Consider the following 21,255-nt stretch of genomic DNA (forward strand, 5'->3'; position numbering starts at 1 on the left):
ATCCACGTCCTAACTCCCAGAACATGTAAATGTGACCTTATTTTGAAAAAGGAGTTTTGCAGATTTAACTGGGTTAAAGATCTTGAGATGAGATCATCCTGGATTTAGGGTAGGTGACTGAATATGCAAATGGACAATGGCCAGACCATATGTAAAAACAGAACTCTGACCCACAACCTGCAGCAAGCAACCCAGGAGACTAACCCATTATCTACAGTAACCAGTCCAGGAAGTCTATAAATTAGACTTGTAGAAAGTTAAATCATTATCTCTAATAACAATCCTAGGAGACAAACTATAACAATTGTCCCAAATGACCAGTACTGGATTAATAACTGGCATCTTCCCTAACTTTTGTCCCCATTTCCAAGTTGAGACTAACAAAAAGAAGCCATAGAATGCTCCACTTCTAGTTAGCCTGCCTGCAGCTTCCTCATGCTGAGAGCCTCTAATCAGGGCATGCCCACTCCTCTGCCTGCCTTCAACTTTGCTAAAATGCAGGAGATTGTGGCTCCCTCCCTTACAAGGCCTGAATAAATAGCTTTTGCTTGTTCTCATTTGATTGATCTTCATTTATTTCTACACAAGAATCCTTATAAGAGAAAGGTAGAGGGCTACTTGAGACTCAGACCCACATGGAATAAGACCATTTGACGATGGAGGCATGGAGCTTGAAGTCACTTAGCCCCTAGGCAAAGAACACCTGAAGTCACCAGACAACAGAAGAGGTAAGTGAACCACCAAAATGTGCAAGGTGCTGTCAACACCTCAGTTTCATCATCTGGCCTCCGTAACTGTGAGAGAACAAGTTTTTGTTGTTTTTAGTCACCCAGTTAGTGCCAATTTGTTATGCTAGCCCTAGGAAACTAACAGAAGCTTTTAGCAAGGAAATTTGCATCTGCTACATGGCTTTTTCTGGAAAGATCCATAAACCTTAGTGTAAATGGCTTAAAAACAACTGTTTTGTTCTTTAAAATTATACTTGTTCTCATGAGAAGATTTACATAGCATTATAAAAATGTCTGGTGAGTTCTTCAATAGTTCCCTTAATAGCCAGGCACTATCTCTGCCCTCAAAACACTCTAGGCAGAAAGACACACAGTCAATTAAAATGGAGAGGCGCAGCAGCTTATGTCTAAGCCTATCTACACATAACCTCTAACCACTTAACTCACTCTATTACCTTTGTAAGTCATAAGTGACTAATTCCCATATCATGCTAGGAAACTGTTAACTAGTAAATCTGCCTATTTCTGCTCCTATCAATTGACTAGTTCAATCTTATGACTTACTTGTGTTTGTTTGCAAACCTGTTTTTGCCAGTTGTGCTTGATATTGTGCTTTCGTAACTTAATATTGTATAAACCAATGAAATAGTGTGGAAATTGTTGTTTCTTTAAAAATCTATGTTTAATATTTTGGAAAGACCCAACAAAAGTATGTGAGATTAACTGTAAAAGATTATAAAATATAGCGGTGGCTCATGCCTGTAATCCCAGCACTTTGGGAGGCTGAGGCAGGCAGATCAAGAGAGGTCAGGAGTTCGAGACCATCCTGGCCAACATGGTGAAACCCCGTCTCTACTAAAAATACAAAAATTAGCCGGGCGTGGTGGTGCACGCCTGTAATCCTAGCTACTTGGGAGGCTAAGGCAGGAGAATCACTTGAACCCTGTGGAGGCTGCAGTGAGCCGAGATCGCACCACTGTACTACAGCCTGGCGACAGAGCGAGACTTCATCTCAAAAAAGAAAAAAATTACAAAGTATAAATCTGCCCTCAGATTGCTTCACAGGTGCCTTTAAGTTATTTTCCCCTTAAAAGAACAAAATCTTGGGAAATCTTAGCTGATGGTTTATGGGTACGGTTTATGCAAGAGATAGTATGCAGAATTCCAATCAGTAGACTACATGCAAAGAAAAGGTCTTGGATCTTCTCAATAGATGGGCAAATGAACACACAGTTGTTTTAGGTTAGAATACAGTTTAAGGTATTTGTTATATTTTTTCATGATTCTGTGGTTTAACTGACCTTTTTTCTTATAAAAAAAGCCTTTTTTAGATATAATTTACATACCACAAAGTACATCCTTATAAAGTGTACAATTCAATATTTAACCATTTTTTCCACTTATTTCTTGGCTAGGGGCCCAGACTACATCTATGAGAGGGCTTCTTCATATGAACAAAATGTAAAGAAGCTATTAATTTTGCTTGATGAGGGATGGGGATTCAGGGAAGATTATGTTTGAGCTTGAAGAGCCTTGAACAAAAAGTAGCAGTTAGGCATATAAAAAGGAGGGTATTTTGCTAAGTAGAGGAACTGCAAATGTAAAGAATGAAATCATGTGGCCTCCAAAGAACAGCTTTTATTTGAGTGGCTTGGGAATAGGGTGTTTTTATTTTTTCAAACTTAATTATGCATCTAACTCATACATAGAGGTTAAAACAAAACAAAAAAGCAAAGCAAAACATGCTCAGGCCTAACTCCTAGAGATTCTGATTCAATGTATATTTGGGATAGAGTCTCTACATTAATTATTTTTTTTTTCAGTTGCACTTGCAGTTCTGATTTGCAGCCAAGACTGAGAACCACTGGAGTAGGATAGAGTGAAAATGGGATGAGGAAGTGTTAGGACATGACACTAGGACCAGATGGTGAAAGGAAATGGTATGCAAATACAATATAACAAACTCTCTTCCCTGACAACTTCATTCTTTTGAAATATTTTCTTTTTCATTTTTTTTTTACTGCCACTACTTTTGCATGAAAGAATACGAATCCCACCATTGTAAAAACAGAGATAAATGTTTAAAACCTTTGTAACTAAAAGACCTCTGTTTTGCTTGAGGTATTAAGCTGGTGCAAAAGTAATTGTGGTCTTTGTCAATGGCAAAAACCGCAATTACCTTTGCACCAATCTAATGATATTTAACATAAACAAACTCAGGGCAGAGTGCACCTTCTGATTGGGTGTACCATCTACCGCTCGGGGCTCTTTAACAAATGACCAAAGAAAACATGAATTTTGACATAACTGGTGCTAGGGTTATTGAAGGGTGGGTTTCCATTCTGGGTTAGTGCTCCCAGTCTCTAGTCAAGCACAAGAACATGCCTACCCCAGAGGGCTCTTCCAAATTCCCAGCTATCTGAGATTATGAGACAAAGGTTCTTTAGCGCCTACCAAATGAGCAACAATGAAGATAAAAGGGACCTCTCCTTCCATCATAACCAGTTCCCCAGGAAGCACCATTTCTCTTACTCTTGGAAGGTCGGATATTTTTTCCCTTTACCATACACTGGCCTTCCATGTCCTAACTGCTATTTTCAAATAAATGAACGTTATATTCTTGGAGGACAGATCAGGGATGCTAAACTGCACCTTTATCATGATTTTAGGGATGAGCGCCTTTTACTTAAGTCCTGCTAGTGGCACATATTTTAAAAGGCCATAGAGGACATCCGTGTTGTCAACACAAGTGAAGGCGCTCGGAAGAGTGTTGGTCAGCAAGAATCAGCACAAAGACATTGGAGGAGAGACAACAGCTTGTTTCTGGAAACAAATGAACAACAAAAAAACACTAAAACATCTCGAGGGGGCCCCTGACTTGAGCCCTGCATGGGAAAAGCTGCCAAGAGCTAGCATGACAAGGGACTGGCCCTGGGCTGCGGTGAGGAAACCCAGCGTCCTGACCACACTGCTGGGTCAGCGAGGCGTCCCTCAGAGACCGGAAACGCGGACTTCAGCTCGCTTGGGAAACGGCTTCCATTAGCAGAAGGGAGACTGCGGTTTAGTCCCGAGGTCGCTCCAGCAGCCCGGCCTCACGCGACCCACCATTCCCGCCGCCCCCTCACGGTGCCCGCCGTTCCCGCCGCCCGGCTTTCTAACCGGGCCCCTAGTTCCCCGCCCCGTGCCCTCTGGAGACCTGCAGCTCCTGCCGCCCTGCGCCCGCTCCCAGGGCCCGTCGTTCCGCCGCCCTATCCCTCCTCAAGGGGCCCCTAGCTGCCTCCTCGCGACCCTTTCCGGACTCGGCCTGCCCACTCCTGCCCGCTAACCCGCCTGGCTCCCGGGCGAGAGCCCTCGCGCGGCTCTGGTTCCTGTTCCTCTAACGCCGCCGGGGCTGCGGGATGCCGACTCCGCGGACCGCCCAGACCCGGAACTGCTGAGGCAGCAGCGGGCTCGCGGCGCTTGGCTCATCCCGGGATTCCCCAGCTCTCGCGCTGGGCCCGCCGCGTTCGCACCAAGCACGCCAGGCGGCCCTGGCCTACCTCCCTCCCGCCTCCCGGCAGCTGGCACGAGGGAACCTGGCCGTCAGGTTTCCCCTGGGATCCTGGGACGGTATCAGGCGGGGAATCTGTGCGGCCGCGGCGAGGTAGGTGAGGTGAGGCGGGGCGAGGTGGGCGAGGGGGGCGAGGTGAGGCGGGGCGAGGCGGGGCGAGGCGAGGCGGGGCGAGGTGGGCGAGGTGGGCGAGGTGAGGCGGGGCGGGTGTCGTCGCGCTGGGCCGAGCTTACGACTCCAGCTGACCCGCTCGCGGCTGCCCAATTTCGTTGAGGCTCAGGACGAGGGACGGGGCGGCAAATTGTCACAGAGGTCGCCGTAGACCGGTGTGCAACCGAAGGTGAAGAGCGGGAAGGCGAGGACCGAATCGCCTCTGGTGTGCGTTGTCCGACAGGAAGTCCCGAATGGGCTGTGAGCCGCCGGTGGAGGTGCCCGGGCAGGTGCAGAGCCACAGCCTGCGCCCCGTGAGCCGAGGCGGGTAGGAGGAACAGGGACCTGGCGGCGACACACGTTGGGCGGAAATTCACAATGAACAGGGAAGGGGGGACGGTCACCCACTCAAAACTGGCTAAATGAACCTCAGAGGGAGCCCCGAGAGATGGGGAGCAAAGGTTAGGGGAAGCGGCAGGAGAAAACCTTCTTGGGGCAAAGGGCGTCACCAAAGGGGGTCACCGGAGCCCCGCAGGTTGGGGTGGGAGGGCTGGGCTGGAGGTGAGCAAAGCTGCACGGGGAGAATGAATTAAGAAAGTTGAGAGGAAGCCTGTCTCATCCAAATCACTATAGCTTTTGTGGTCATTGCTAAGTGTGGAGTACTGCGCAAATCCTGAAGGGAACTCTATTAGCCATCTCAGCTTTTATCATCTTAAAACGCGAATTTCGCGTGCAGCTCCATTTAGCTTCGTAAACTTAAGCCCCCGCATATGAAAGGATGAGACCTAATATGACAATCATGTCAGGACTAATGATATATCACACAGGTTGACACTCTGCAATTTAAAAACAGGACTTTGTCTAAACTCCACAAGTAATTCCTTACTCAAAAGTTCTGTGTAAACAAAACAGAGGAACTGTCGTGCTGCTGGAAAGATGTACCAGCATTTTCACAAAACGAATTAAAAGATGGCTTTGCTTTCACTGTCATGGTTCTGTTGTGACAGAGTAGACTGGCTTTTCTGGGAGGGGCCTAGATTTACTATTTTAGTTACATTTTAAAATCAGTGTAATTACTTCGTTTTTAATCTACCACAAATTTCTGTTGTAACTATAAGATTTATATAATCTTATATTCTTACACTAATTTTTATTTGCAGGTGATTTATTTGGCATAAAAGTATTCTTTCAAGGATGGCAGAAGCTGTTTTGATTGATCTTTTTGGTTTGAAATTGAACTCTCAAAAAAACTGCCATCAGACATTACTGAAGACTTTGAATGCTGTCCAATACCACCATGCTGCCAAGGCCAAGTTTCTCTGTATAATGTGTTGCAGTAACATCAGCTATGAAAGGGATGGAGAACAAGATAATTGTGAAATAGAAACAAGCAATGGATTATCAGCTCTCTTGGAAGAATTTGAGATTGTTAGCTGTCCCAGCATGGCTGCCACTTTGTATACCATTAAACAGAAAATTGATGAAAAAAATCTGAGCAGCATTAAGGTAATTGTACCCAGGCACAGGAAGACATTAATGAAAGCTTTTATTGATCAACTCTTCACTGATGTTTACAATTTTGAATTTGAAGATTTGCAAGTGACTTTTAGGGGAGGGCTTTTTAAACAGTCCATTGAAATAAACGTAATCACAGCTCAAGAACTAAGAGGAATTCAGAATGAAATAGAAACATTTTTGAGAAGTCTGCCAGCACTGAGAGGAAAATTAACTATTATCACTTCTTCTTTGATCCCAGGTATATTAACCACTAACTGTTGTTTTTACTTTGTACATGGAAAACTAGTCTTTCTTCAGAGGTAGTTCACCTCTTTTTTTCCTCCTTTCTTTTGTTGACTGTTGTGGGCTGATTACTCATTAGCATCAGTGGCAACACAGAGGTGTCATGTTTGGCCCTGTAGTATCAGGGGTGTCAAGGGATAAAGCCTTCAAAGCCACCCCAAATAAATAAATTTGCTTTACAAAAATTTGATGATGAGACAAATAATCTAGCCCTCCTTTGCAATGAGATTTATGACACTGAAAATCTTCTATTTAGAAATTCTGAAATTTCAAATCATTGGCACCTTCATAGAAGAGTAAAATTTAAAACAATCAATCTTACTTCTTGGTTAAACAGTATTTTCTGTGAGCTATATGCTATTAGATATAACAAAGCCAGATGAGACACAATATACCTTTTGAAGAGCAACAATCTCATAGGGAGTGTAAAACAAACACAAAGCAGAATGCCATAAGAACATATGGAGGTACAAAATGCCATAGAAATTAGAAGCCAAATAACAAGGGCAGGTAGCAGTGATCAGGGAAGGTCTAATTGAGAGACTGGTATTTTGAATAGCATCTTTTAAATCTTCACTGCTTATCTTCAACAGATATTTTCATACATGGATTTACTACAAGAACAGGTGGGATATCTTATATACCAACTCTTAGCTCATTCAATCTCTTCAGTAGTTCCAAACGGAGAGATCCCAAGGTAGTGGTTCAAGAAAATCTGCGTAGGTTGGCGAATGCTGCAGGATTTAATGTGGAGAAATTTTACCGAATAAAGGTAAAATTTTGCTTTATATTTTGAAAGATCTAAAGTATATTTTTTACTTTGCTAGTAACTACATGGACTTTAAGCTATTTAACTTTTGTATCTGCTTTTTTATCTAAAGTTTTAGAATAATGCTGTGGTTGTCTTTCTTAGATTTATACACCATAGCCTAAAGATAAGTTCTATTTTATACACACACACACACACGTGCAGATATATATATATATATATATATGCACACACACATATAGTAAGTCATCCTTTAATGTTGATAGGTTCTTAGAAATTGTGACTTTAAGTGAAACGACATAATAAAACCAATTTTACCATAGGCTAATTGATATAAATAAGAATAAAGTTTCTAAGGCATATTTCTTGTCACAAAAACATCACCAAACTTCTAAATAAAGACCAACACATTCCTAGTATTAAACATTGAAATAAATGTGAGCTAGACATATATTTACAAAACAGTAAGAAAGACAAATAAGATAACTACCAAATTATTTCGGTTCAGGGCTTTAGGTAGCTGGAGTCTATTCTGGCAGATCAGGATGCAAGGCCACAACCCACCCTCGACAGGACACCATTCCATTGCAGGGTGCCCTTACACACACACACACGTACTCATGCTGGGACCATGTAGACACCCCAATTCATCTAACATGCACTTCTTTGGGATGTGGGAGGAAGCTGGAGTACCCAGAGAAAACCCATGTGGACGTGAGGAGAAGGTGCAAACCTCACACAGTCAGTGACCGGGTGGGTAATCAATTTTTTTCATTAACATTATAATGAAATGATGTGGAATAAAATGACATTATTCAAGAGCCTACTGTATATTTCATCTGGAGTCCTCAATTCTAAAAGTACAGTTAATTCTCAGAGAGTATACTACCACTGCTCTTTTTGATTTAGAAGAAAGGGAACTGAATGGTGGTAGAGAAAGGCCATTATTTTATAAATCTACTCCAGGAGGAACTAGGGTCATAGTTGATGAGATAATGTCTTGTTCCTTACAGAATTCTAGCTTTACTTGAGTCTTGGAAAAGTAAAAGTATCATTGATTTGTTAATTAACTTTCCTTTACAAGAAAAATTTTCATTTTGTAGAAAGTGCTATAAGAAATGATATACCTATCTTTATGGAAAGATGTTCATTATTCACTATATTGAATTTTATAATGTTAAACTCTGCTTTTCTTTGCATAAACTATCAGAGATTATAATCTAAAATCTTAAATAGTTAAATTATAAGTAAATTTTGTGTTTTCCCATATATAAAAGTGATATATTTAATGAATGCTAGTAATCTTAAACTGGTTATATAATTTTATACTACAATGAGTACCTTCGAGAAAGCTTATGGTATAAGAAATACTATTTCCAAAACATTTTTGTTGCACATTTTTGGTATTAGACTCATCATTCCAATGACATCTGGATTATGGGAAGAAAGGAGCCTGACTCTTATGATGGAATAACCACAAATCAGAGAGGAGTCACAATAGCAGCTCTTGGTGCAGACTGTATACCGATAGTTTTTGCAGATCCAGTCAAAAAAGCATGTGGGGTTGCTCACGCTGGTAAGTATACTTAATTAAACATTTAGAATTTTACTCATTTTGTTGTGCAGGAAAAATTGTAATTTCTTTCTGATGGACATGGCAAACAGTTAATTACATTACACTGTGGTAAGTGTAATGATGGGAGAGGCGGCATAGTTTTATTATAGGGACAGCTAAGAGGAGTATCTGCATCAAATTATATGAATTATAGTAGAATTCCCAAAGGAGGTGGCACCTAGGTTGATTCCTGAGGAATTTGTTGGTTTTGGCTGGGTAACAGTGTTCCTTAGCAAGGGTGCTATTAACATTTTGGGCAGGATAATCCCACATTGCAGATTAAGTGTCTTTAGCCCCTGAAATCCTTAATGACAGTAGCACCTCTAGTTACTGTAATAACCAAGACCAACCAACCAACCAATCAAACAACAACGAAACCCTCCAAGCTTTTCAAAACACTCCCTAGGGGAGTGGTACTGCCTCTGGTTGAGAATCCTTGAAATCCAGGCCATAGGAAATAGGAATGTTAGGCATGTTGCAGAGAAGTGTTCACCCAGATGGAGCTGCATGTGTAAAGCTAGGGAGGTAGGAAAAAGCAAGATGTTTTGAAAACTGTTTTTAGTTTACATCACTTAATGTATTTAACTGTAACTATTCTCTGAGAGCAAAGAAGTATTTTTAGAAGGTATATTGTGTTAAGGATATGGAATTTTGTTTTCTGAAGGTATTTTAAAATAGTATTTTAGATTACCCCATAGCTGTGATTTTGTGTGAAATGAGGGATGATCTTTAAAATTTCCTTCTACTTGTAAATCTATGGCTACTTTGCTTTTTAGCTCATAGGTAAAAAAGAAAGTAGCATATTTTTATTTTGACCTAGCTGAAATAATGGGATTGAATGAGTAGAAGTCAGGTTTACTACATGACATTGTCAAAAAGTTATTTAAAATTTGAGTCTTGGCTCCTGGATATAAAAAGAGGATATTATTTTTTTACTTCTTAGGTTCGAAAACATTTAGTTTAAACATATCCAAGATCAAGCAGTCAAAATGAAGTTATAAATGTGAATTTCAAGTCATTAATAAGTTAATTTTGAAAGAATAAAATACCTAGGAATACAGTTACCTTAACCAAGGAGATTAAAGGTCTCTACAATGAGAAGTACAAAACACTGCTGAAAGAAAGCAGAGATAATATAAACAAATGGAAAAACATTCCATGCTCATGGATAGGAAGAATCAATATTGTTAAAATGGCCACACTGCCCAAAGCAATTTATAGATTCAATGCTACTCCTATCAAACTACCAATGTCATTTTTCACAGATTTAGAAAAAACTATTTTAAAATTCACATGGAACCAAAAAAGAGCCCAAATAGCCAAAGCTATCCTAAGCAAAAAGAATAAAGCTGGAGGAGTCATATTGCCTCCCTTCAAGCTGTACTCCAAAGTTACAGTTACCAAAACAGCATGGTACTGGTACCAAAACTGACACATAGGCCAATAGAACAGGATAGAGAACCTAGAAATAAAGCCACACACCTACAACCATCTGATCTTTGACAAAGTCGACAATAACAAGCAATGAGGAAAGGAATCCCTGTTCCATAAATGGTGCTGGCATAACTGGCTAGCCATATGTAGGAAATTGATACTAGATCCCTTCCTTTCACCATATACAAAAACTAACTCAACATGGGTTAAAGACTTAAACATATAGCCTAAAACTATTAAAACCCTAGGAGGAAACCTAGGAAATGCCATTCTGGACATAGGCATAGGCCTTGGCAAAGATTTCATGGTGAAGACTTCAAGAGCAAACAAAAACAAAAATAGTCAAGTGGGACCCAATTAAACTAAGGAGCTTCTGCACAGCAAAAGAAACTATCAACAGAGTAAACAGAAAACCTACAGAATTGGAGAAAATATTTGCAAACTATGCAGCTGAAAAGGTCTAACACCGAGACTCTATAAGGAACTTAAATCAACAAACAAATAACAATCAATCCCATTAAAAAATGGGCAAAGGACATGAACAAACGCTTCTCAAAAGAAGACTTACACGTGGTCAACAAGCATATGAAAAAACGCTTGATATTACTAATCATTAGAGAAATGCAAATCACAACTACAATGAGATACCATTTCATACCAGTCAGAATGGCTGTTATAAAAAAAGTCAAAAAACAACAGATGTTGGTGAGATTGTGGAGAAAAGGAAATGCTTACACACTGCTAGTGGGAATGTAAATTAGTTCAGCCACTGTGGAAAGCAGTTTGTATATTTCTCAAAGAACTTAAAATTAGAACTACCATTCAACCCAGCAATCCCATTACTGGGTATATACCCAAAGGAATATAAATTATTCTGCCATAAAGACACATGCACACGTATGTTCATCACAGCACTTTTCACAATAATGAAGACATGGAATCAACTTAGATGCCCATCAGTGGTGGACTGGATAAAGAAAATATGGTACATATACATAATGGAATACTATAAAGCCATAAAAAAGAATGAAATCATATCCTTACAGCAACATAGATGCAGCTGGAAGCCATCCTAAATGAATTAATGCAGGAACAGAAAATCAGATACCATATGTATCCTTTAAGTGGGAGCTACACATTGAGTACACATGGACACAAAAAAAGGGACAATGGACATGGGGGCTTACTTAAGGGTGGTGGGTGGGAGGAGGGTGACGACTGAAGAACTGTCTGTTCGGTACTATGTCCACTACTTGGGTGATGAAATCGTTTGTACACGAAACCCCAGTGACATGCAATTTACCCATGTAACAAACCTGCATATATGTACCCCGAACCTAAAAAGTTGGAAGAATAAAAATAAATTAACTTTAAAATATAATATAATTAGCTACATTGTATACTACTTTTATCAGATATCAAAAAGAATAAAATTCTTCTATGGGACTAATTTAATAAAGATCTTTTAACTAGATATGTATATATAGATAGGCATAGAAAAATCAAATAGAAAGGAGGTGGATGAACTACAAGTGAGAGGATAACTAAGGAGGCTCACTGAGGAAGAGAGCTACTCTCATCTGTAGAAAAGCCCTGACAGTTTCTCTCTTTAACTCAAAATGCCTATATCTAGTTGCTTCCCTTTGAACATCACTGTCTGCATCTTCCTAGGTGCCTGAAAATCATTATGTCAAAAACTCAACATTTTTTTCCTAAAGTCTTCTCTGCCAGTTAGGTTTCCTGTTTTAATTATTGATATCCTACCCACTTACAGATAGAAACTTGATGTCTTCATTCTGTACTTCCCATAACCACATATTCAGTGGGTTACCTGTAGAGGCTGAACCTGTCACCTAAGTCCTTCTTGCTTTCATCATCTCCTTTTATCTGTAAAAATTGATCCCTTCACCTGAGTGCCTACCTTTTGAAGGGTATGAGTATGGAGTGCTTAAGGAAGGTGTAAGGGTACTCATTATTGGCCAACCATATCAGCTGAATCAAACCCAGATATAGGGAATAAAGGAAAAATGCAATATTCTTAGCTTTCTGTCTTTGGCAACAAGAAGGTAGCATAAGTAAAGAAGATGGTTTTATCTTAGAACACTGTAAGATGCAAGGCAGATAAGACAAAGATGGCAAGGGAACGATAGTCTGGGCAAGTGGGAAGGGAGTAAAAAGAGGCTGTTAATTGAAATATAATAGATATATTTTTGTAAAAAGGGAGAGATGAAAACTGCAAAACATTGCTGAAGGACATTAAAGAAGACACAAATAAATGCAGAGAAATTCTGTGTTCATGGATTAGAAGTTAGAGAAACGCAAATCAAAACCACAGTGAAATATCACCCCACATCCATTAGGATGGCTAATATTTTAAAACCTCAGAAAATAAGTGTTGTTGAGGATATGGAGAAGTTGAAATCCTGGTGCACTGGTGGTGGGAATGTGAAATTGTGTAGCCACTATAGAAAACAGTATGGCAATTTCTCAAAAAATTATAAATAGATTACCATATAATCCAGAAATTCCTCTTCTGGAAGTATATCCAAAATAACTGAAATCAGGAACTCAAAGAGATATTTGCACACCAATGTTGATAACACGATTATTCGCAATAGCCAAAAGGTGAAAGCAATCTAAGGTACATTGGTAGATGAATGGATAAGCAAAATGTGTGTGCATACAATGGAATATTATTTAGCTTTAAAAAGGCAGGATATTCTGACACATACTACAATATAGATGAACCTTAAGGACATTATGCTAAGTGAAATCAGTCAGTCACAAAAAGATAAATACTGTATTGATTTCACTTATATGATATACCTACAGTAATCAAATGTACAGGAACTGGAAGAAGAATGGTGATTGCCAGGGGCTGGTAAAAGGAAGAAACAAGGAGTTATTGTTAATAGTTGTAGAGTTTCCATTTTATCAAATGAAAAAATTCTGGAGATTGGTTATACAACAATGTGAGTTCAACACTACTGAACTGTATACTTAGAATAGTATTTTTTTGTGGTTATAATAGTAAATTTTGTGGGTTTTTAACCACAATCTTTTAAAATGTGAAAAATAGAAGACTAAGAAGCTATGATCTCAGTGGAAACTAAAAGTATAGAGCATCTTTAAATGGAAGATGAAGAAAACTCCCATTACATGTCTCTTCTGTGTCAGGTGCTTTGTGTAGTATGGCTCATTTAAAAACCACATGATAATGTAATTTATTATTTCTGGACTTTGAAAAATATACAAACTAAATCTGCTCACTTTTAACTTAGACATAAATTCAGGTGAAATTTTTTATGTTTTGACTTCTCTTATCTCTTTTTATTCCTATTTACCAGGTTGGAAAGGTACTTTGTTGGGTGTTGCTATGGCTACAGTGAATGCTATGATAGCAGAATATGGCTGCAGTTTGGAAGACATTGTTGTTGTACTTGGACCTTCAGTAGGACCTTGCTGTTTTACTCTTCCAAGGGAATCAGCAGAGGCATTTCATAATCTTCATCCTGCATGTGTACAACTATTTGATTCACCAAATCCCTGTATCGACATCCGTAAAGCCACAAGGTATGTCTGATTTCATTCAACTGCAAGTTTGATTATTTCTGATTGTTCTAAAATGAAATTTATTTTGGAGAACAATTAATAACTCTAAGAAGAATTTAGGTGGTGGTTATTTAAGCAGCTGACATGCACATGTACACAAACACTCATTTTAAATATGAAATCTGTTTTCATTTGAGTTTGAATAACAGAAATTTTCCTGTCTGGTATCTTTCATTGATTTAAAAGTGAAGGAAGAAATATTTGGCATTTAATTTTAAGAGATCTACTTAAACTTCATATAGAAAAGTTGGCGTGTACTTTACTTCACAGCCATTCCTCAGCTAAATTCTCCTAAATGTAATGAACTATCAGGAAGCTGATATTTTAAAATTATTCTTATTATCTAATTAACTAGAGGAATATGTTTTTTAGAAAAAATATTAGATAATATAAATACACGGTTTTTTACTTTTAAGTTTTTTACAGTTCTTCGCATCTTTTAATTTACAAGGTTTTGTTATTAATAACTGGTGAAAATTATTTGTCATTACTACAAAGGCAAATTAATGTATGTTTTAAATCATGTTTCTATTCCAGTCGCCAAAACTTTACCCAGAGTCTGCCTCATTTAGTACAGATGTGGAAAAGTTTGAAATTGATTCTTAAATGTGACTTTTAAAATCAAGTATCACTAACTTGTAGTCATATTTCATATCATAAAGTGTTCATGGAGAAGCAAGTTTTCTGAGAAAAATCTGGCTAATAGAAGGAAAGGAGATGAAGGGCCAGATGACTAAAAAGCATACTCTGGCTGAGCCAGGTGAATTTTGCCTGATATCCTGGTAACTTTTGTAGACATTTCTTCTTAAATAAGCACTTGATTTTGATTATAAAATTCTGTACCTAGATTATGTCTATAAGACAATATGGAAGGTTGTACTGTGCATATATGAACTTAGGTGATAAATGCTGATAAAGTGTAGCATTTTTTTCCCTGACTAGTCCATGTTCTGTAAGTGAATAACAATATACATTGTTCTAGGTACATCTTTCCTGGAACTTTTTCATGCCAACATCCATACTTTTTTTCATATTGCTTTGGCTATTGGGAAAATAAACTCTTGCTCTCTTTTGAAAAATATTTTTCCTAAGGATTCTTCTAGAACAGGGAGGAATTCTTCCACAGAATATTCAGGACCAGAACCAAGATCTCAACCTCTGTACATCTTGCCATCCTGACAAGTTTTTCTCCCATGTCCGAGATGGCCTTAATTTTGGTACACAGATTGGCTTCATATCAATTAAAGAATGAGGTACAGTAGGTTTTCTCTCCTCTCTCCGTTTTTCCTCTCTTTCATCCCTCTCTCCACTTCTCCCTCCCTTTCTCTTTCTTCCTCTTTTAGCCTATTCCTCCCCTTATTTAAAAAAAAAAAGTTAATTATGTTAAACTTTACTCCTTTATTCCTACAGGGAGAATGATGTTTCTACTTTTTTAGTGATGTAATAGTGGTAGCAACGTTCATTTCCAATAACACTCTATTATGAAGAGCAGCCACTCCTTTTCCTAGTTAATGAAGAATAATTAGGCAGGCTTATGTTAAAAGTATAAAAATAAAACAATTTAATCTTTAAAAAGGTATGTAAGTATTTCCTTTCTCTCTACTATGTACTTGATATCTGTACATTCCCTATCCTCACATCCTTATAACTTTCATGTTATTTTTGAAAACAAATCTTTGCATAAACATTCTGAATTCTAGAATCATAAGAAATTCTCACAAAGAAACTAGCTTGATTTTCAACTAGATTTCCAAATGATTATCTGCAGTTGGAGTTGCCCAAATTTTTATTTTAAAATGACAGTAAGTAGTTTAGACTTTGTGGGACATACAGTATATCTCAGCTACTCAGCTTCGCCATTGTAGAGGTAGAGCAACAAGAGATACTGACAACATAGAGATGAATGAATATGTCCGTGTTCCAATAAAACTTTGTTTACAAAAATCAGGCGAGGGAGCCAGGCACAGTGGCCCTGCTCCTGTAGTCCCAGCTCCTCGGGAGGCTGAGGTGGGAGGACTGCTTTAGGCCAGGAGTTTGAGTACAGCATGGATAACATAAACCCTGTCTGTAAACAGTAAAATAAACAGGTAAGGGGCCAGATTTGGCCTATAGGCTATAGTACACTGACACATGATCTAAAGTCATACAGCAAGACTGAGTGTAATTTTCTTAAAATAGTATTTATTAGAGATGGTTTTGTTGGAATTATACAAAAATATTTCATGGCACTGATTTAGCACTGCCCCTATAAGATATGTGTAATTTTCCCTAAGGTTACTTCTAGCTGAATTAATATTATTTTTTACTCTTTACAATGTTTTTAGCTCTTTAACTTACAGAAAAACTTTAATAGACTTCATGACTCTTACCTTGATATTCTAATAACACCAGTAAGCGTCTCATATTTGATTTCTATGTATTTTACAGATACTTGACTGGATTTTTGTATAACTGCTTCCTGCCTCCTTCCAAACTGACTGCAAGAGAGAAATTTAGCTGTTTGATTTACTTAAAACCAAATGGATTACAATGGATAATTCATCTTTTGGGTATATTTTTACTATTATTCAAAGCCAAATGATTTTCATTTAATTGTAATAATAACTGACAAAAATCAGTATGTTGTAGCTAATATGTTTTATGCATGAGAATTATTCTTAAAGTTTGTTCTCCCTGTTTATTACACAGATCAGGAATAGATTTGTTCAGTTCAGTATTTATTGGATACCCTCTATTGGTCAGGCATTGTGTTAAGCATATGTGAATCAAAATGAACACAACTTTTTCCTTTGAGTCTGATACAGTGAAGGAGATAAACACTTCTACAACTTAAATTTAATTTTAATAGCAGTAGAAGAGAACATAAGGAATAGAGGTTAATTTTACCCAGAAGCAGGATAGAGAAAATATTACAGAGAAAATCACATATCACATGGGCTCGAAAGATGTAGAGGTTTTTGACAAATGAAGAACAACCATAACAGGTAGAGGGAACACCATGAACCAGGGCATGAAACTGAAAGTGCATAACATATTCTAGAGAGAGAAGGGTGTGGGCATGAGTTAGGGCTGGAAAAACAGGTTGGAAACAGATAAGTAAGGGTCTCAAATGCAATGTCAAAGAGCTTGCAGTTTATTTTCCAGGCAATGAGTAGGCAGCCAAAAAAAAAAAAGTAAGGATGTTTTTTTTTTTTTTCCCATGGCATCATATTTAAGAGGATGGATTTAAATTGTGTGAGACCAAAGCATAGAGACTAGATAAGAGGCGATCAAAATATTTCAAAAAGAAATAATGAAGATCCAATGAAGGAAGTGGAAATTAAAATAGGGAAGAGAGTAGATGGATTAGAGAGACATTTAAGAGATGGAATCAATAGATCCTGTTACTAGATAATGGAAGTAAGAGGTGAGGAAGAGTGGAAAAGTCATTAATGACTCTAAGATTTCTGCTTGGCTGCTTACCAAGATTGGCAACAAAGGGAGGGAGAAGGTTTGGAAAAAGAGAGAAGGATAATGAGTTTGACTTTACATAGAATGAAGGGCATCCAGATAGAAATCTTTGGTTAATAATTAGAAATATAGACCTAGAAATTAGGAGGAAACCTGAGACAGAGACAAATATTTCAAAGCTTACAATACAGAGATGATACCTGATTCTATTGGAGCAGGTTTGATCATCTAGGCAGAAATTAGGATGAGAAAAAAGGAGATCCAATAATACAACCTTATAGTCACAGAAGTAAGAAAAAAAGGGTAGTTGTTTTGAAGAAGCCAGGATAGGTGTGGAAAGTACTCAAAAAGAAATCTTCAGGGATAAAATAAAGTGATAATTTAAAAGAAATCAATGGATTAAACATATTGAAACTGTTCTATAGGCAGTGGTCATTGAGTCAGCTTTCAGTGCATTAGGAAGAAGATGCATAGGTGTCAACTCTTTTCTGACAGCATTTACTAGAGAAGAGAAAAAGCTGGGGACTACATCTTCAAGGAAGGGACTTTTTTTGGATGAGCAGTTTTGAGTGTGTTTGTCAGTTAAAGAGAGGAATTAGGTTAGTTTTCATTTGGGAAAAATTGTATATATATTTAATGTAAGTTATCACATTGCATCTTAAAAATATTCTTATTTAATACATATATTTCCTACATGTATATGTGGTAGCATGATAGCAAATAACATTTGTTTGGTATTTCCAAAGGACTTTCATGTACATTGCCTCATTTTACCTTTACAGCTACTCTGAAATACACAGGCATTATCCCTTTTATTCAGCTGAGAAAACTGAGCTTCATTGAGGTGGAGGTCAAAAATCACAAAATTTGTGATGAATTAAGATTTGAACATATGTTTTGTGACTCCAGTTTTCCTTTCAGATTTTAAAATTAATTAAAGGGATCTTCATTATACTTTTATTGTTAACTTTTTGTTAACATAATTTATTCATACATTCAGTGAAAATTTTGTTGAGGTACTGGGACAGGTTAAAAAATACAGTTGTAGCCCTCAGGATATTTAATATCCAGTGAAAAGTGACAGTCAGTAAACCAACAATCTCAATACTTTGATATATGTTGTGAGGTTGTGATAACCGATTCTTGTTTAGTTTAATTCTATATCTCCCTTAGACCAGTGTTAAATTTAAATAAAACACCTCATTTTTTCCAATTCAGGGAAGGCACTAAACATAAAGCATAGGATAGAAATGTTGAACTCATCCAAAATATTATTTTGTTTAATGAAAATGATGAAGATTAAGGAATACTTCCATGTATTGAGTAAGGTTGATAATTTTCTAATTCTTCACTGTGCATTATTTTGTTTGAAGTTGGTAAATTTGGAGTATCCTGCAGACACATTTTGCTTTATGTACTACAACATTCTACAACCAAATAAAAATTATTTTGATTATCTGATTTTGGATTATCTCTGCCAAAGTATATAATGAAAGGTTGTCTCCTTGCTGCTTTACTGAATGAAAAGTGTTGATTTAGTAACTCCAAACTATCAGGTTATTAAATAATCATCTTATTGTGTCTACAAGATAGCTGTCACTCTCACATATTTGTATGTAGGTTTCTAGGACTTTTGGGGTACAACAACAAAGATTTCTAGTAAGTTTTGTTTTTGTTTTTAATTTTATTTTAAATTTATAAATAACAATGGTACCTATTCATGAGATACATAATAATGTTTCCATTCATATAATGTACAGTGATCTGACCAAGGTAATTAGCATATCTATCATTTCGAACATTTTTCTTTGTGTTACGAACATTTAATATGTTCCTTCCAGCTATTTCAAACTATATAATATACTATTGTTAACTATAGTTATCCTACAGTGGTATAGAACACTAGAACTTATTCCTCTTAAAGTTTTGTTTTTAATCTAAGCACTGCTACTAACTGCACATAGGAAATATTGATTGCTATTTTATTAATAAGGGGAATTAAGTTTGTAAGTCAAATAAACATTAATGAAATACCTTTTTGAAAATACTATCAAACTAAAACTTACTGGGCCATTTATCCAACTGTAATTTTAAATTGTGAAAAATAGCACAGTGGCCAAATATGCTATACCCCAGTGCTTTATAAAACAAATAAGATGACCTTACCACTAGGAGGTGGTATTTCAACAAGTAGCTCTACTATTATTTCTTGGTATAAAGTTGAACTAATCTTTTTTTTTTTTGAAAAAAATCAACTTTATTTTTTCTAGGTTTAAAAAAATAGAACCAGCTATTAATTTTTGTTGAGAAAATGCATCTTTTGGTGTTCACATCTAAATTTCTGAAAAGGTGATCTGGTTACTAAAATCATCCCAAATACATTCATAAACCAGATCCACGTGTGACCAGCCCTTTACAAAAATTAATTACAGTTGCCACAGCCTTTACATTCATTCTTATCACACGTTACAACATGCAGATAACACAAAGAAAGGTCAACAAGCTGAAGTAAACATTACAGCATCAGGAAAATGAAAACCCATCTGTATAAAATAAATACAATTTTGTAATAACTGTAAAGAAAATGAAAGCACTTAATAAAAATAATGGCAGTTGAATGTATAACTGTCTCATCTCCCAATCATAAAATAAGTTACTGTAAAATGCATAGACTCCTTACACTTAAAGAATTTGTGCATCACAGTCATGTGAAGTTGAACTAATCTTAAACTCTGTATTTTCTTGTGGAATAAAAAGGGAGGGGAGGACGCATTTAAAGTTAGTGAATGTATTGCTCTTACTTTAGGTATAACGTGGTAGTTCAAGTAGATAAAAGCATTTAGGAACCCTCACCCACTTCTATCTCACTCCTACAGAATCTCTAGTAATTGCTTTTCTGTAAGTAGATTTTTGGGAGAAACTCAGAGAAGCTTATTCTATGTAACATGACAAAACAGAAATAATATCTATATATTCAGCAGCTGGAAGGAAAGATAACAGTGACATACGAGTTATATGCTTTTATATCTCAAAGTGGGATTTGATATTTATTTTTACTTGATTGTCCTAGAGTTATACTTCCAATGTATCCATCTTACTTTTTGTGTGAACTCTTAGAGAATGCTACCAATCTATGAAAGTTCAGCACTTTAAAGAAAGCATTACTCAGTTATTGTGTGTTATCGTGTTTGTATGCATGAGTCTTTGTGTATGTGCTAAATGGCAAATAAGAAATATGTGTGTTAAATATGACACATAGCCTTTTTGCCCTAGCTAATATAAATTAACACACACATAACACATTGGATGCAGTAGAATAATAGATTTCTCTCTATAGATTTTTTAATAAATTATGCAGTAAAGAATGGAAAGCATGGTCCATATGCTTACTGGATGTGTTTGTGTGAACCCTGATCTAGGGCACGTGCATTTCCATTGTAGGCAGTGTTTTTAAAGTTTACTTGTGATTTCAAAGATTGCCATAAGCAATGCATTGTTCTGTGCTAGGTCATTGCTTAATGAAGAAAAAAGAAATCTGCCAGTACTGCTTTTTCCAGATTAACACGTTTGGTTTGAAGTCACAGTGATTACATGTCAACTGTGTTGAGACAAACTTTTCATACTCTCCTTAGATGCATTTTTGTAGAGAAAGAAATGCTTACATCACATTCCCCATGTCCTTTTGCCAAGCGCCTGAGGTGAGCTATGTCTCTGCTGTATTTGGAGCAGACTTTTTGTTTTATTTAATTCTCAGAAGGTTGAGGTGTCCAGTTACTACATTTTGTTAAACAAAATTTCCAGCAGACACTATAGCTCAAAATACCACATTCCTTTCTAACCAAAAACAAAACAAAAGACAAAAAAGGGGAGTAAAGGGAGTACTCTCATTTCATGAGAAACATTTGTAGAAAAGAGATTTGTTCATGGTAACAATTGGGTTTTTAATACCCTTCATTTTCAGAATTCTGCATCACACGCTGCTTCAGTTTACATCTCACCATGCTTTCCTGTTCCTTACGTTTTTAAAGCTCATGTTTTAAGGTTGTATTTTCTTTCTTTTGTTGTTGTTTTGTTTTGTTTTGTTTTGTTTTTGAGACGGAGTCTCGCTCTGTTGTCCAGGCTGGAGTGCAGTGGCGCGGGCTCTCGG

The 21,255-nt window shown here is 37.2% G+C and overlaps 2 protein-coding genes across 36 annotated transcripts in view, besides 1 other annotated feature; one reads left to right on the forward strand and one right to left on the reverse strand.

The window, feature by feature from the left end:
• Nucleotides 1-4,377, reverse strand: part of CCDC122 (coiled-coil domain containing 122) — a 60,723-nt gene extending 56,346 nt beyond the window's left edge. For 5 of the 10 annotated variants that reach the window (XM_047430112.1, XM_047430113.1, XM_024449327.2 and 2 more), the window contains exon 1: nt 4,268-4,377. The gene's annotated coding sequence lies outside the window, so the exon portion shown is untranslated. Of the gene's footprint in view, nt 1-3,924; nt 3,999-4,054; nt 4,161-4,267 lie in introns of those variants that run through there. The other 5 variants (NM_001350617.2, XM_017020397.3, XM_017020398.2 and 2 more) reach the window with 2 other exon arrangements.
• On the forward strand, nt 3,815-18,569 carry LACC1 (laccase domain containing 1). Of its 26 annotated transcripts, none has more exons than NM_001350641.2 (8): nt 4,210-4,380; nt 4,553-4,756; nt 5,589-6,184; nt 6,822-7,000; nt 8,408-8,573; nt 13,394-13,619; nt 14,751-14,911; nt 16,086-18,569. In NM_001350641.2, exons 3-7 carry the CDS (start codon nt 5,623-5,625, stop codon nt 14,908-14,910), a joined length of 1,293 nt encoding a protein of 430 aa, NP_001337570.1. In that variant the 5' UTR covers nt 4,210-4,380; nt 4,553-4,756; nt 5,589-5,622; the 3' UTR covers nt 14,911; nt 16,086-18,569. The 26 variants fall into 26 exon arrangements, with proteins under 26 accessions (XP_047286058.1, NP_001121775.1, XP_047286060.1 ...); NM_001350638.2 differs by having other exon boundaries at nt 4,210-4,371; NM_001350645.2 differs by having other exon boundaries at nt 4,210-4,371; nt 5,589-5,934.
• Nucleotides 4,279-4,428: a silencer, noted in NCBI's record as "silent region_5302". NCBI's record gives its function as "represses an Ori minimal core promoter by ATAC-STARR-seq in GM12878 lymphoblastoid cells {active_cell/tissue: GM12878}" and the evidence as "EXISTENCE:reporter gene assay evidence [ECO:0000049][PMID:35858748]".

Source organism: Homo sapiens, chromosome 13 (assembly GCF_000001405.40).
Source record: "Homo sapiens chromosome 13, GRCh38.p14 Primary Assembly".
Lineage (NCBI taxonomy): Eukaryota > Metazoa > Chordata > Mammalia > Primates > Hominidae > Homo > Homo sapiens.

What these genes read in the sequence shown, in the direction of transcription:
- LACC1 (NM_001128303.2), top strand. Translation starts at nt 5,623, where the DNA reads ATGGCAGAAGCTGTTTTGATTGATCTTTTTGGTTTGAAATTGAACTCT. An exon ending in AGAAATTTTACCGAATAAAG is followed by an intron (nt 7,001 to 8,407) that starts GTAAAATTTTGC and finishes TTTTGGTATTAG; the next exon opens with ACTCATCATTCCAATGACAT. An exon ending in GACATCCGTAAAGCCACAAG is followed by an intron (nt 13,620 to 14,750) that starts GTATGTCTGATT and finishes ATTTTTCCTAAG; the next exon opens with GATTCTTCTAGAACAGGGAG.